At 37.4% G+C, this 15,872-nt stretch overlaps 1 protein-coding gene across 15 annotated transcripts in view, besides 1 other annotated feature; it reads right to left on the bottom strand.

Annotated features, from left to right (window-relative positions):
* NCOA1 (nuclear receptor coactivator 1) overlaps positions 1-15,872 on the bottom strand; it is a 279,449-nt gene that overhangs the window by 152,932 nt on the left and 110,645 nt on the right. The gene's annotated exons all lie outside the window — the stretch shown is intronic.
* Positions 4,376-4,425: an enhancer, noted in NCBI's record as "active region_15434". NCBI's record gives its function as "activates an Ori minimal core promoter by ATAC-STARR-seq in GM12878 lymphoblastoid cells {active_cell/tissue: GM12878}" and the evidence as "EXISTENCE:reporter gene assay evidence [ECO:0000049][PMID:35858748]".

The following is a 15,872-nucleotide window of genomic DNA, read 5'->3' as shown; positions in this document are numbered from 1 at the left end:
TCTGGCTAAAACTTTGTTTATATTCTCTGAATAAGCTCCTATGAACACCAAGGTTCCTGGCATGAGGGACTCATTAATGCCATTTAGCCAAGCCTGAGTTTATGGGAGATAACAGATGTCTGAGGGAGAGGCTGATTAACTCAGTTACGTACACATTAATCATGAGGTGGCAACAGGACACCCAAGAAGATATGTTCAGATGACTTTCAAAGAAGTGGAATATAAAGGATTCTGGAATCACTAACACATTAATGATAGTGGAGTGTATGAGATGACCAACAGAACGTGTGCAGAAAGAGAAGAGAATGGATTACTATGGAAGCACTGCAATATTTCAAGAGGGACACTGTTACAGCTGGAAGAACAAGTAAAAAAGAGAGAAAATGGATAGAGGTAAAAGGAAAACCAGCAGAAGTTGAGGTGGAGAGATCATAACGTTCAGTTTCGAGAAGGATTTTTGTACCTGCCAAAACAATCACAACAAACTCTTAGAAAAAAGTGCCCAAAGGTAATGAAGAGTCTGCTAAAATTTAAACCCCAATTAGGCATGAATACTCTTCTCTCAAAGGGCCCTGAAATTCAACATACCCCAACAACACCACAGTCATTGGAGCAACATGCTTTTATGTTCAACATTTCTACCATCCTCCCCAACTTCATACCATAAAGATGCAAACAAGTATTTGATGGTAAGTTTGTAGGACAGTATTATAAAGTCTCTTTTTGAGGGGTGGTGTCTAAAACTGTATCTCTCCATCCAAGGTTTTGGCTACTCCTAGTATACTAAGATTTGTCATCACAGTAAACATGTCTATGTTCACAATTTCGACCTCATTTTATAAACTTTCCAAAGTATCGCTTTCAGAATCAATTTTTTACAGACTGGATTTCATTTTTCCCTTCCTCTTTCTAGCCTCTGCTAAATCCTCAGGGATTAAGAGCTTAAGTCCCCTAACAACTGTTTTCCAATGTTTCCAAATACCCACACTAACTGCTCTACTTTCCTCAGTTCTAGTCAGGGACTGCTCATGTCCTGAGCAGGACTACAGTACATATAAAAAACTACAGTACTTCTAGGTAGGTGTCATACAGATATGCAAGTAGGAGATCAAAAGTGTACTCTTATATCAAGTCACACTCATCAGGTTACCAAAACATGCAGAACTGCTGCCTCTGTTTTGGGGGTATTTTTAAAGACCAACTTCATTTATTTTCCTATAATCCCCGATATCATTTTATCCATTACAACATCATCTTCCTTCCCCTAGACTCACATTCCTCCCCTTCCAAGAAATTCTTTATTCATTCCCTTTCACTTTTCCCAGTTTTGCCAAAAGAAATGGTATTTCTCTTGCATTTTTAATATGCTATTTTATTGGGAACATTGGAGAAAGATGGAAAGAAATCTCAACTATCAAATCCATACAAGAGCAACAAACGGTATCAAATTAAAACTATGTACTATGGTAACTATGTAACAAATTATTTTTCATCATCTGTGAAAAAGGATGGTAGGAAAAGGGAAATGTGCAAATAGCAGACACAACTCATGATGAAATTCACCCCACATACAAATCATCATTTCCATCCTCTGAAGGTTACTATTCCTTTGTTTCTCTTCTCTCTTCCTCTAATGTATAACCTAATGTGACAATGCTACCAAGTAACAAGCATGTAGACTCCAAAAAGTGCTATTTGATAGAAAATTCAGTATTACATATAAAGAGTGCCATTTTTATTTTACTTTGAAAAATTGTCTGCTTTAGTAAAAACTGAACCTAAAAGTAGGCTCTTAATATTCTAACACTGTCCTTATAAAAGTTTCCTAAGATCCCTGATCTTTTCATAAATGTTGGATGAATGGAACACCTTTGTAGTAATGACAAATTTCAGCCAGCCTTTACTTTTCCTCCTATCTGGACTTACTACTCTAATCCCTCACATTCTCATCCTCTTCCCTCTAGAAAGCCATTCCTCATCTGCAATGGTTTGGCTGAGTAACCCTCCTATGTGTCCTAGCATCTAACAAAAAAAGTAACTGTGTATGTATCTATCTGATTATATAGATAAGTTAACTGCAAGCTTCTTGAAAGCAGTGAGACTATGTCTCACTCACCGTTTTATCTCCAGAGCCTAGGACAATGCTTGGCACTTGTTAGATTCTCAACATTGACAGTCAGCATTGGCCCCCACCAGCACCATCGACCAGTACCCATCAGCTATTCCATCAACAACGTCCTAGACTAAGGCTTACTACAATCTCCTGCAGAGAAGCCAACATAACTTCTTAGAGGATTCCTTAAGTTCTGATACTAACCATCTACTGTGTGCCAAGCAATATATTACAGGTTCTATTTTATGTTATTTCTTCAAAAACCCCATGAAGTAAAAATAGTTATCCTCCTTTACCAACAAAATAATAAGAGGTCTGTGATAATTTACTTTCTCATAGCTACTAGTAACAAGCAGTTGAGCAGAGATTCATGCCTAAGTCTATCTGACTGTAAACTGAGGCCATTTCTACTGTGTTATTCTGCTTCCTCAATACCTACACAAAATCAACATAAATACATAATTTATCCAAATATATTTTTCTTGCTATATTCTGTAATGTCACAAACCCTTTGGGAATCAATAAAATTAACTCTGTGAATCACCTGGAAGACTGTAAAGATGGTAGGTTAAGATTACATGCTCTGGAATCAGAATGACTACTTGGATTCAAATAACAATTCTGCTACCCACTAGCTATATAAACTTGAATAATTCAATTTCTCTGTGCTTTGATTTGCTAATCTCTAAAATGGGAATACAAGTGGTAGCTATAGGATTCTTGTGAATAATAAATGACAAGATATGTGAAGGACTTAGAATGGAGCCTAGCATATAACAATATTAATACTAACAGCTAGAATTAGTGCATGCTTACAATATATGTTACCTTATTTTCAATAAACACTAGCTGTTATTATTTAATTATCTAAGTTTACATGAAGAAATAACTTTTTCTATGTCAGTGGTTCTCAGACTTGCAGTGCATCAGAATTATCTAGGAGGCTTTTAAACATACCCACAGGCCCTGCACCCTAGAGATTCTGACATGTAGGTGTGGTTGGGCTTTAGAAACTATTCTTTTGAAAATTTTCCAAGAGGATTCCCACTGCCTGAGATATGAGAATATGCTGGGCTAGAGATCTTAAAACATTTCTATTTTAAACGTCTGATATAAAGAATGAAAATGGGCTAGGTGCAATGACTCATACCTGTAATCCCAGCACTTTGCAAGGCCGAGGCAGGCAGATCACTTGAGCCCAGGAGTTCAAGAGTAGCCTGAACAACATGACAAAACCCTGTCTCTCCAAACAAAACAAAACAAAAACAAAAAAGTAGCCAGGTGTGGTGGTGTATACCTATAGTCCCAGCTACACAGGAGGTTGAGGTGGGAGGATCCCCTGACCCCAGGTGGTTGAGGCTGCATGCAGTCAGCTGTGATCACACCACTGTACTCCAGCCTGGATAACAGAATGAAACCCCATAGCAAAAAAAAAAAAAAAAAAAAAAAAAAAAAAAAGAATGGAAATGAATCGATACAATAGGCAGAAAAGCAAGTAATAAAGCTTCCAGATACTCCTGGGGCATATATGAATCCTAGTAACCTAGGGTTGGAAAGGATTGAGAAAAAAGTTTAGGCCTCTGAAAGTCAGGTAAGACACTATCAGACAAAGACAGGGCCCAAGAAGGACAATAACACCAGGAAAAGGGTAAATTCAAACATTAAAAACACCTTCAAAGGCAAACATCAAAGAAAACCTCTTGGCCTTAGCAAAGACATCATGAGGATTTGGTGCCTGAATCATCTATGCTATGTGAATACTCCTAAAACTCAAAAGTCGGGGTGCAGCAGGACCTTCTCTGCTTCACACCCAGGCAGATCTCCAGGTAACTGGAGCACCCATTCACCGGGATCAGCAGGCTAAGCCAGCCCACTCTCCCCATGCCAAGACCATGGTAAAGCAGGGCACTCTCTGCCCCATTCCCGGGCATAGCTTCAGGCAGTCAGAGGACCCATTTGCATGGATTGCTAGCCTGAGACACCCCATCCTTCCTGTGTAGAGATTGTGGTACAGCAGGGCCCTCTGTACGCAGCACCCAGGCAGATCTCCAGGTACCTGGAGTACCCACTCTCCTGGATTAAGAGTTCAGGCCTCCACCCCTGCCTGTGTAGAGAACTTGGGGCCAAGGAGGTTTGCCAGCTCCATGCCTAGGACCACCTCTGGGTGCTTGGTGGCTGCCCATTGGCTTCTCCCTCAGTGTTAGTGATTGTGCCTGCCATCAGGGGACTGTAGGTGGCCTGGCCCCACTCATCTTGCTTCCCACTCCCCTGGGGCTGAGCAAGTAGCTCAGACCACTGTGCACTCCACGTATCAGCCCAATGCCTGAGGCAACAGAGAGCTTCTTCCTGTAAACAAGTATCAAGTGTATACCTAGTCACACTGGCTACAGCTGGCTAAGTGATCTTACCCGTAAGCGCCATCTACTGGCTTGTAGGTTGAACCCTACAGCCCAATATAAAATCTGCCCAAAGAAGTACATAGGCTATAGAAGCAAAGCCAAAAGATGCTACCCAGCATTCTCTACAATCATATCCCCTAGGGAGTTGGGGAATGGAAAGGGAAAGAAAAAAAAAATATTACAGGGACAGGAACAAAAAAAGAAAAAAATCCTACCTGCATGAAAATAATTACAAAAATCAAAAGTGCCAGTGTCTCCAGATGAGAAGGAACCAGTGCAAGAATTCTGGCCAAACGAAAAATCTGATCGTAGTGACACCACTCAATAATCACACTAGCTCTCCAGCAATGGCCCCTAACCAAAATGGAAACTCAGATATGACAGATAAAGAATTCAAAGCATGAATTACAAGGAAGCTCACTGGGATCCAAAAAAAGGTTGAAAATCAACACAAAGAAACTTCTAAATCATTCTAAGAAATGAAGGAAGCGGTAAATACTTTAAAAAGAAGTCAATCAGAACTTCTGGAATTGAAAACTCACTTAAGGAATTTCAAAATATTAGGGAAAGCTTTATCAATAGACTGGACCAAGCAGAAGAAAGAATTTCAGAGCTTGAAGACTGCCCTTTTGAACTGATCTAGTCAGACAAAAATAAAGAAAAAAGAATTCAAAAAAAAGGAACAAAGTCTTTAAGAAATATGGGATTATGTAAAGCAACCAAATTTACTAATTGCTGGCATTCCTGAGATGGAGAAAAAGCAAACAACCTGGAAAACACATTTGAGGGAATAATTCAAGAAAATTTCCCGAATCTTGCAAGAGAGGTAGACATTCAGATACAAGAAATTCAGAGAACACCTGTGAGATACTACACAAAACAAACATCAATAAGAAATATAATCACAAAACGATTCAAGGTCAAAGCTAATGAAAAAGTCTTAAAGGTAGTCAGAGAAAAAGGTCAGAGGAAATCCCATCAGGCTAGCAGTGGACTTCTCAGCAGAAACTGTATAAGATTGGGGGCCTATTTTCAGCATTCTTAAAGTAATTCCAACCAAGAATTTAATATCCTGCCAAACTAAGCTTCATAAGCAAAGAAGAAATAAAATCTTTTCCAGACAAGCAAGTGCTAGAGAATTCGTTACCACTAGACCAGCCTTAAAAGAGATCTTTAAGGGAATTCTAAACGTGGAAATGAAAGAAAAATAACCTTCTACCACAAAAACACAATTAAGCACACAGCTCACAGACCCTATAAAGCAACCACACAATAGAAACTACAGTGACTAGCTAACAACTTCACAATAGGATCAAAACCTCACATATCAATATTAACTGTGAATGTAAACGGTTTAAATGCCCCACTTAAAAGGCACAGAGATGAATTGGATTAAAAAAAAAAGACTCATCTATCTGTTGCCTTCAAGAGACCCATCCCGCACATAACAATACCCACGGGCTCAAAGTAAAGGGTTGGAGAAAGATCTATCATGTAAATGAAAAATAAAAAGGAGCAGGGGTTGCAAGTCTTACATCATATAAAACAGACTTTAAAATAACAGTAAAAAAAGAACAAAGAAGGACATTACATTACAATAAAGGGTTCAATTCAACAAAAAGACTTAACTATCCTAAATATAAACCCACTGGAGCACCAACTTCATAAAACAAAAAAGGGAATGCTTATACATTTTTAGTGGGAATGTAAATTACTTCACCCACTATGGGAAACGGTATGGAGGTTTCTCAAATAACTTACAACAGAACTACCATTTGGCCCAGCAAACTCAATACTAGGTACATATCCAAAAGAATATAAATTGTTATGCCAAAAAGACACATGTACTCTTACGTTCACTGCAGCACTCTTTACAATAGCAAAAACATGAAGTCAACCTAGATGCCCAACAGTAGATCAGACAAATTAAATGTGGTACACGTATACCACGAAATATTATGCAGCTGTAAAAGAAAATAAAATCATGCCACTTGCGACAACGTGGATGTAGGCCATTATTCTAAGCAAATTAACAAGGGAACAGAAAACCAAATACTGCATGTTCTCATTTATGAGTGGGAACTAAACACTGGGCACTCATGGACATAAAGATGGCAACAATAGACACTGGGACTAACAGAGCAGGGAGGGAGAGATGGGAGCAAGGGTTAAAAAATTAACTGTTGGGTACTATGCTCACTACCTGGGTGACAGGGTCATTCACACCCCAAACCTCAGCATCACACAATATACCCATGTAACAAACCTGTACATGTACTCCCTGAATCTAAAATAAAAGTTAAAAAATTTTTTAAAAGGGGAGAATTTCAAGTTAAAACCTATGTTCATAGACCCCTAACTCCAAGCACATAGTAGAAGGAAATAAAAAATCTTCCCTGGAGGAATGCACTGTGAACTCAAGTCTAAAGAGTTCCACAGTTACACAGGGTTCCAGTTAAAAAAAAGAAGTTCATGATTCAAAAAAAAAAAACCACAATAAATACAAGTAAATAAGGCACTATTAGAAAGAGCCAGAGAAAACAAACAACAAAATTTGTTGTAAAATTTCAGATATTAGAATTATCAAATATAGAATATTAAATATGTTTAATATATTAAGAGAAAAAGATGGAACAAATAAAAATACTAGTAAAGCTCGAGAGAATATAAAAAATGAATGGGCAAATCTGAAAAATAACCAAACAGAACTACTAGAATTGAAAAACATCACAAGTAAAATCATAATGGAAGAAGTAAATAAACAGAGTCAGTGAACTGTTACACAGAAATGACAAAACAATTCAGAATGCAGCGTAAAGGCTGGGCGCTGTGGCTCACACCTATAATCCCAGCACTTTGGGAGGCCAAGGTGGGCAGATTACGAGGTCAGAAGATCAAGACCATCCTGGCTAACACGGTAAAACCCTGTCTCTACTAAAAAAAAGAAAAAAAGAAAAAATACAAAAAATTAGCTGGGCGTGGTGGCAAGTGCCTGTAGTCCTAGCTATTCGGGAGGCTGAGGCAGGAGAATCGCTTGAACCGGAAGATGGAGGTTGCAGTGAGCAGAGATCACGCCACTGCACTCCAGCCTGAGCGACAGAGACTCTGTCTCAAAAAAAAAAAAAAAAAAAAAAGAATGCAGCCTATAGTCACAAAGAAATGCAAAATATGAAAGAAAGGTTAAAAGACATGGTAGAGAAAATGGAACAATTACTACCAGAAAGACTACATTCCCTGATCACAATGCAATGAAATCAAAGCCAATAAGAAAAAGACATAAAATTGTCATACATTTCAAAACTTAAAACCGTATCACTAAATAACATATGACTCAAGGAAAAAATTATAAATATTTTTAAACCCAAGAATGAAAAAATAATGAAAACGCTACATTTCAAAATCATAAAATGTAGTAAAAGCAATACTCAGAGAATGTATTCCCATCAATGCTTTCATTAGAAAAGAATGACTGAAAACTGAGCTAAATGTCTAAGAAGTTACCAGAAAGAATTTCCTCACCAAGAAAAAAAAAAGGCACAAATATAAAAGCACAAATTGATGAAACAGAAATCAAATGCACAATAAAGAGAATAATTAAACCAAAAGTTGGTCCTTTTTTATTTTTTAAGAGATGAGGTCTCGCTATGTTACCCAGGCTGGAGGTGCAGTGGCTATTCACAAGCATGATCATAGCACACTGCAGCCTTTTAACTCCTGGGCTCCAACAATCCTCCTAGTCTCAGCCTCCAGAGTTGCTGGGATGGCCCTGCTCCACCACACCCAGCCTGGTTCTTTGAAATGACTTTTAAAAATCCTGCCAATGAGATCAAGAAAGAAAATAATACAAGGTAATTATAAATGAAAGGGAGAACTTAACAACTGACAAAGCAAAGATCAATGTTTTTGTTGAAAACATTTAAGTAATAGATTTGAAAACAAATGTAACCAGTAAATTCAATTAAAAAGATACATAACCCACTAAAACTAACCTAGGACACAGTGATATAAACATATGGTTAAATAAATATTTTAAATGGAGAACAAGAAACAAATCTTTCTTACAGAAGAATTCCAAATAATTTATGTAGCTACTCCTCCCTCTGGGAGGTGAAACTTAATTCCCATGTCCTCACCCCTTGAAGGTGATTTAGTAACTTGCTTTCAAACAACAATTAAGTAAGGAAAAGAAAAAATAATGACTTTACAGTGAGTAACATGGCAATCACTATTTTACCAAGTGATGGAGGTTAATTTAACACCATCAGTGATGTCATGGATATTATGTGCCCCCTAAAATGATGTGATGAGAAGGGCCTTTCCTCTCTATGGTAGTCTTCCCACAACCTCACAAGAAAAACATCAGACAAACCCCAACAGAGAGAATATCTGGCCAGTACTCCTCAAGACTGTCAAGGTCACAAAAATAAGGAAAACCAGAAAGTGTCATAGACCAGAGGAGACTGGGAAGACATGACAATTAAATACAATGTGATACTGTGGGAACCCTGGACAGAAAGAGGATATAGGATATAAATGAAAAAAAAAAAAAAAAAACACAACAACAACAAGAAAAAAACAAAACAAAAAAACCTGTTGAAATCTAAATAAGGTGTCAAGTTCAGTGAGCCAGTGTCAGTCTCTTAGTTTTGACAAATGTACCATGGTAATGCAAATGTTAATAATGGGAGAACTGGCCAGGCATGGTGGCTCATGCCTATAATCCCAGTACTTTGGGAGGACGAGGTGGACAGATCACAAGGTCAAGAGATAGAGGCCATGCTGGCTAACAGGGTGAAACCCCATCTCTACTAAAAATACAAAAAATTAGCACGTGCTTGTAGTCCCAGCTACTTAGGAGGCTGAGGCAGGAGAATTGCTTGAACCCAGGAGGCGGAGATTGCAGTGAGCAGAGATCGCACCACTGCACTCCAGCCTGGGAGACAGAGCAAGACTGTCTCAAAATAATAATAATAATAATAATAATAATAATAATAATAATAATAATAATAATAGGGGAACTGGGTGAGGAGTATATGGGAATTCAATATACTATTCTTACAACTCTTCTGTAAATCTAAAATTATTGCTAAAAAAGTTTTTTGAAAGATGACACAAAAAGACATGAAAAGACTAAATAATCCTATAGTCATGAAGGAAACTAAATCAACAGTTTAAAATCTTCTCTAAAACTATGAGTTAGTTTTGCTTAAAAGTACAAGATTTGGTGACTAAGCGATAAACCTACTTAGAATCAACTCCAAACAGGCTTTGTTTTGTGTTCTTGGTATAAGATTGTCCAGCCTTAAAAGTGTATTGTATGGTATTACAGTAAATAAGAAAATACAGGTAGGCAAAAAGAAAAACGAATTCAACCATAATAATTTTTTAAAATCTCACAAAGAAAGTTGAGTTTTACCAAACTCAAAGAACAATTTCAGTCTTATGTAAACTCTTCAAGAAAGAGAAAATATTCATTCCCCAACTCGTTTTATGAAGCCAGTATAACCTTAATACCAAAACCAAATAGTGTAAGAAACTAAAGTAGGTGAATCTCACTTTTTTTTTTTTTAGACAAGAGTCTCGCTCTGTCATCCAGGCTGGAGTGCAGTAGCACTATTTTGGCTCACTGCAATCTCCACCCCCTGGGTTCACGCCATTCTCCTGTCTCAGCCTCCGGAGTAGCTGGGACTACAGGCACCCGCCACTACACCCGGCTAAATTTTTTGTATTTTTAGTAGAGATGGGGTTTCCCCGTGTTAGCCAGGATGGTCTTGATCTCCTGACCTCATGATCCGCCCGCCTTGGCCTCCCAAAGTGCTGGGATGACAGGTGTGAGCCACCGTGCGCCCAGCCAATCTCACTCTTGATCATAGATGCAAAACCGCCCAGCCAATCTCACTCTTGATCATAGATGCAAAACAGTACATAAAACACAAGTATCCCTCATAATTAAAAACTCAACACAGAAAATGACTATAGCAAATTTTATTAAAGATATAGCTGATATCCTGTTATTCCAACTTATCTTAATAAAATATAAATATCAAATAGACTCAAAAAAAAAAAAAACACAGTACCCCTCACTGTTCACATTCTAACTATTCACTCTCCAAAATTCAGGGTTTCCCAAATTATGCTATACAACATCTGTCTGACACCAAATAATTTCAAAATTAAATAGTACCACTTTCCTTTCAATGATGTGTTATCCTTATAAATCTGAGTTTATGGTAGTTGCTGTGAAAAAGAGCATCCCCAAGTGAAAATCAACATGGAACAAGAAGTGAGGGTGGCAATGGCAATGCCTTATCTGATTCCAAGGTTTGAGAAGTTATGCATTGCTCTGAGGTGCACACATATCCCATTAGCAAGGGACTGTGGTTATTTACAATTAAAATAAAAATATATCGAATTTATGCATATGATTTTTTCAAATAACTAATAAGTTATAAGGACATAAATACTAACTTGTTTGAAACTAAATAAACGTAGCTGTTAGGTATTTCTTTGACTTGAGGACACCATGAACTGGAAAGTTTGGGAGTATCTGAAATACTCATATAACATGGTATTTCTCACTATCCAAACTAAGACTGAAAATATGGAGACAGCAAAAAATACTTCAAACTGAAGAAAGTGATGAACAAAAGATTAATATATCTCATGACCAAGCTGAGTTTATGCTAGAAATATAAGTGCAGTTTAACATTATGAAGGTATAAGGCCAAGCATGGTGACTCATGCCTGTAATCCCAACACTTTGGGAGGCTGAGGCGGGTGGATGACCTGAGGTCAGGAGTTCGAGACCAGCCTGGCCAACATGGTGAAACTCTGTCCCTACTAAAAATACAAAAATTAGCTGGGCATGGTGGCAGGCGCCTGTAATCCCAGCTACCTGGGAGGCTGAGACAGGAGAATCTCTCAAACCCAAGAGGTGGAGGTTGCAGTGAGCTGAGATTGCACCACTGCACTCCAGCCTTGGCAACGGAGTGAGACTCTGTCACCAAAATAATAATAATAACAATAATGATAAAAATAAAAAAATAAAAATTATGAAGGTATAAATATCATTCACAAGATTAAGGAAACAAAAGAGAAATCCCAAATGTTCATCTCAATCATTACTGGTAAAACATCAGATTAAATTCAGCATTCCCGATAAATTTTTTTAAAAAAAATCTTAAAGAGAACCTCCTTGCTTCATAAAGGTAATCTAGAGAACACAGAATGTACTGTAGATATCTGTGAAATATAAGAAGCACGCTCTTTAAAATTAGAAATAACACTCATTAATCCCCACTTCTATACAACGCTGTACAAGTCTAGCCAGCACAGTAACAGGTAGGAAAAGGTACAGGAATTGGTATGAAAGAAACAAAACTTGGCCAAAAGATGGGAGAAGAGAAACTGAATGATGATGCATGGCAGATTTTTGTGGGCCAGGCCTAAAAGTGGCATAGATTACTTCTACTCACATTCTACTGACTAGAATTCATTTACATGGCCATTCCTGATGCAACAGAGGTGGAAAATTCAACCTAACTCTGTGCCCAGGAAGAAGAGGAAATTTTCAGTGTATATCTAGCCACCCTCTGCCACAAACCAAAATGGAAAATAATTTGGCATTATCTGAAATTGAATATGCACAAACCCCATAACTCAGCAATTCTACTTCTAGGAAGGGATACTTTTGCACATGCATACCACAAAATAAGAATACTCATAGCTCAATTGTTCATAGTAGAAAAAAACAATGTATCAATCAACAATAGAACAAACTGTCACATACCCTTAACTGAATAGTATAAACCCAGGAAAATAAATGTTCTACAGAGCAACATAAATAAATCTTAAAAATTTTTAAAAACTTAAGAGGTAGATAGTAGAATACATACAATATACAGGCATACCTCCTTTTATTGCACTTTGACTTATTGTGCTTTGCAGATATTGTGTTTTTTACAAATTGAAGGTTTGTGGCAACCCTGATCCAAGCAAGTCTGTCGGTGCCATTTTTCCAAAAGCATGTGTTCACTTTGTGCCTCTGTGTCACATTTTGGAAAACCTCACAATATCTCAAACTTTTTCATTATTATTATCTCTCTTATGGTGATCTGTAATCAGTGATCTTTGATTTTATTACTGTAATTGTTTTGGGGCACCATGAACATGTAAGCCCACATAAGGCAGCGAACTTAATCAACAAATGTGTATGTTCTAACTGTTCCACCAAACCAGCCATCTCCCTATTACCTGAGACACGATAATACTAAAATTAGGTCAATTAATAACCCTACAATAGCCTTTAACTGTTCAAGTGAAAGAGTCACATGTCTCTCACTTTAAATCAAAAGCTAGAAATGATTAAGCTTAGAGAAAAAGGCATGTCAAAAGCCAAGACCGGCTGGAACTAGGCCTCTTACACCAGTCAGCCAAGTTGTGAGTGCAAAAGAAAAGTTCTTGAAGGAAATTTAAAGTGCTACTCCAGCGAACACACAAATGATAAGATAGCAAAACAGCCTCCTTGTTGCTCATATGGGTAAAGTTTGAGTGGTCTGGATAGATCAAACCAGCTACAGCATTTCCTTATGCCAAAAACTAATCCAGAACAAGACCCCCAACTATCTTCAATTCTATGAAGACAGCGAGATGAAGAAGCTGCAGAAGTTTGAAGCTAACAGAGATTGGTTCATGATGGTTAAAGAAGCTGTCTCCATAACATAAAAGTGCAAGGTGAAGCAGCAAGTGCTGATGGACATACTGCAGCAAGTTATCCAGAAGATCTAACTATGATGAAAGTGGCCACACTAAACAGCAGATTTCAATGTAGATGAAACAGCCTTCTATTGGAAGAAGATGCCATTCAGGACTTTCATAGTTAGAGAGGAGACACCAACACCCAGCTTCAAAGCTTCAGAGGACAGGCTAACTCAACTCTTATTAGGGGCTAATGCAGCTGGTGACTTGAAGGTAAAGACAGTGCACAGTGACTATTCCAAAAATCCTATGGCCAATAAGAATTACGTTTAATTTACCTGGCCTGTGTGCTATAACAACAAATCCTAGATGACAGCACATCTGTTTACAGCATAGTTTAATGAATATTTTAAGCCCAATGTTAAGACCTACTGCTCAGAAAAAAAGATTCCTTTCAAAATATTACTGCTCATTCACAATGCACCTGGCCACCCAAGAACTCTGATGGAGATGTACAAGGAGATTAATGTGTTTTCCTGCCTGCTAGCATAACATCCACTCTGCAGCCCATGGATCAATGAGTAATTTTAACTATCAAATCTTATTATTTAAGAAATATATTATATAAGGCTATAACTGCCATAAATAGTAATTCCTCTGATGGATCTGGGCAAAGTAACTAAAAACCTTCTAGAAAGGCTTCATCATACTGGATGCCATTAAGAACATTCGTGATTCATGGGAGATCAAATATCAACATTAACAGGAGCCTGGAATAGATTGGTTCCAACCATCATGGATGACTTTTATGAGTTCAAGACCAGTAGAAGTAACCGCAGATATGGTAAAAACAGCAAGAGAACCAGAATTCGAAATGGAGCCTGAAAAGTGACTAAATTGCTGCAATCTCATGATAAAACATTAATGGATAAGGAGATGCTTCTTATGAATAAGCAAAGAAAGTGGTTTTTAAAGATGTTACCTACTTCTGGTGAAGATACTGTGTGAACATTGGTGAAATGACAACAAAGGATTTAGAATATTACATAAACTTGGTAAAGCAGTGGCTGAGTTTGAGATTAACTCCAATTTTGAAAGAAGATATACTGTGGGTAAAAAATGTTATCAAATAGCATCACGTTACAGAGAAATCTTTTGTGAAAGGAAGAGTCAATCAATGCAGCAAACTTCACTGTCTTATTTGAAGAAATTGCCACAAGCATTCCAATCTTCAGCAACCACCATCCTGATTAGTCAGCAACCATCAACATTGAGGTAAGACCCTCTACCAGCAAAAAGATTATGACTCACTGAAAGTTCACATAATCGTTAGCAATTTTCAGCAATAAAGTATGTTTTAATTAAGGTATATATATTTTTTTAGACACAATGCTATTGCACACTTGATAGACTACGGTATAGCATAAACGTAACTTTTATAAGCACTGGGGAAGCAAAAAATTTGTGTGATTCACTTTATAGCAATATTTGCTTTATTGTGGTAGTCTGGAACTGAACCCACAATATCTTGTAGGTACGTCTTATCTTTTTTAAAAAGTTTGATAAAATAAGTGGATCAATAGATAATTTAGGAATAGATACATACGCAGTAAAACCTTTTTAAAAATCAAGAGCATAACAGTCAAAATTCAGCATAGTGTTCACACACTGGGGAACAGTGCAGGAAGAGGAATAAGTTGAGACAGGCTTACACAGGGAGTTTCCACAGTATTGGTAAAATTCCATTTCTGAGGCTGATGTACATGACACTGCTTAGTTCACATTAACATACTAAACAATGTTTTTATATCTACTTTTATATGGAGGATAACAAATTTTTATAAAATGATTAAAGAAATTGGAGAATATTTTATTTAAAACGTTTTATTTAAATAATATTTATTTTATTTAAAAATAACTTAAATTTTTAATTTAACCTTACTTATTTATTAGCCAAAATATATTTATTGTCTTGATTACCTAAAGAAATATTCAAGAAAGTGCTAGTTACTACGTAAATTTGGAAAATAACTTAGAGTGTATTTTTTAAAACCTTACTGTTGCCAGGCGCAGTGGCACATGCCCGTAATCCCAGCACTTAGGCAGGCTGAGGTAGGCAGATTGCTTGAGCTTAGGAGTTTGAGACCAGCCTGGGCAACATGGTGAGACCCCATATCTACAAAAAATTAAAATATTAGCCCGGTGTGGTGGTGCACCCCTGTAGTCCCAGCTACTGGGGAGGCTGAGGTGGGAGAACTGCTTGGGCCTGGGAGGTCGAGGCTGCAGTGACCTGAGATTACGCCACTGCATTCCAGCCTGGGAGACAAACTGAGACCCTGCCTTTACTTTAAACTTGCTAAACTTTACTACTTAACAATCCAATTACTTGTTGCTATTCTTCCCCAATCACATGACTTGTCAGCAAATTGTAGTTAATCTCTCTGACAGCTACATTAAGTTCCAGGGTTCTTCCTAAATTTTAATTATAATGAGTATTTTTTGAAACGACAGAAGAAGTAACAAGAAAAAATTAAACGGTGAAGGCATAATAATTCTAACAAAGATTAAACTACCTGATAAGGAAGGAATTCTTGTATTCTGACTTCCGGTAAAGAAAGGACGAAGTGGCTGGGCGCAGTGGTTCACGCCTGTTATCCCAGCAC

Source organism: Homo sapiens, chromosome 2 (assembly GCF_000001405.40).
Source record: "Homo sapiens chromosome 2, GRCh38.p14 Primary Assembly".
NCBI lineage: Eukaryota > Metazoa > Chordata > Mammalia > Primates > Hominidae > Homo > Homo sapiens.
This window is presented reverse-complemented; position numbering and strand designations above follow the sequence as displayed.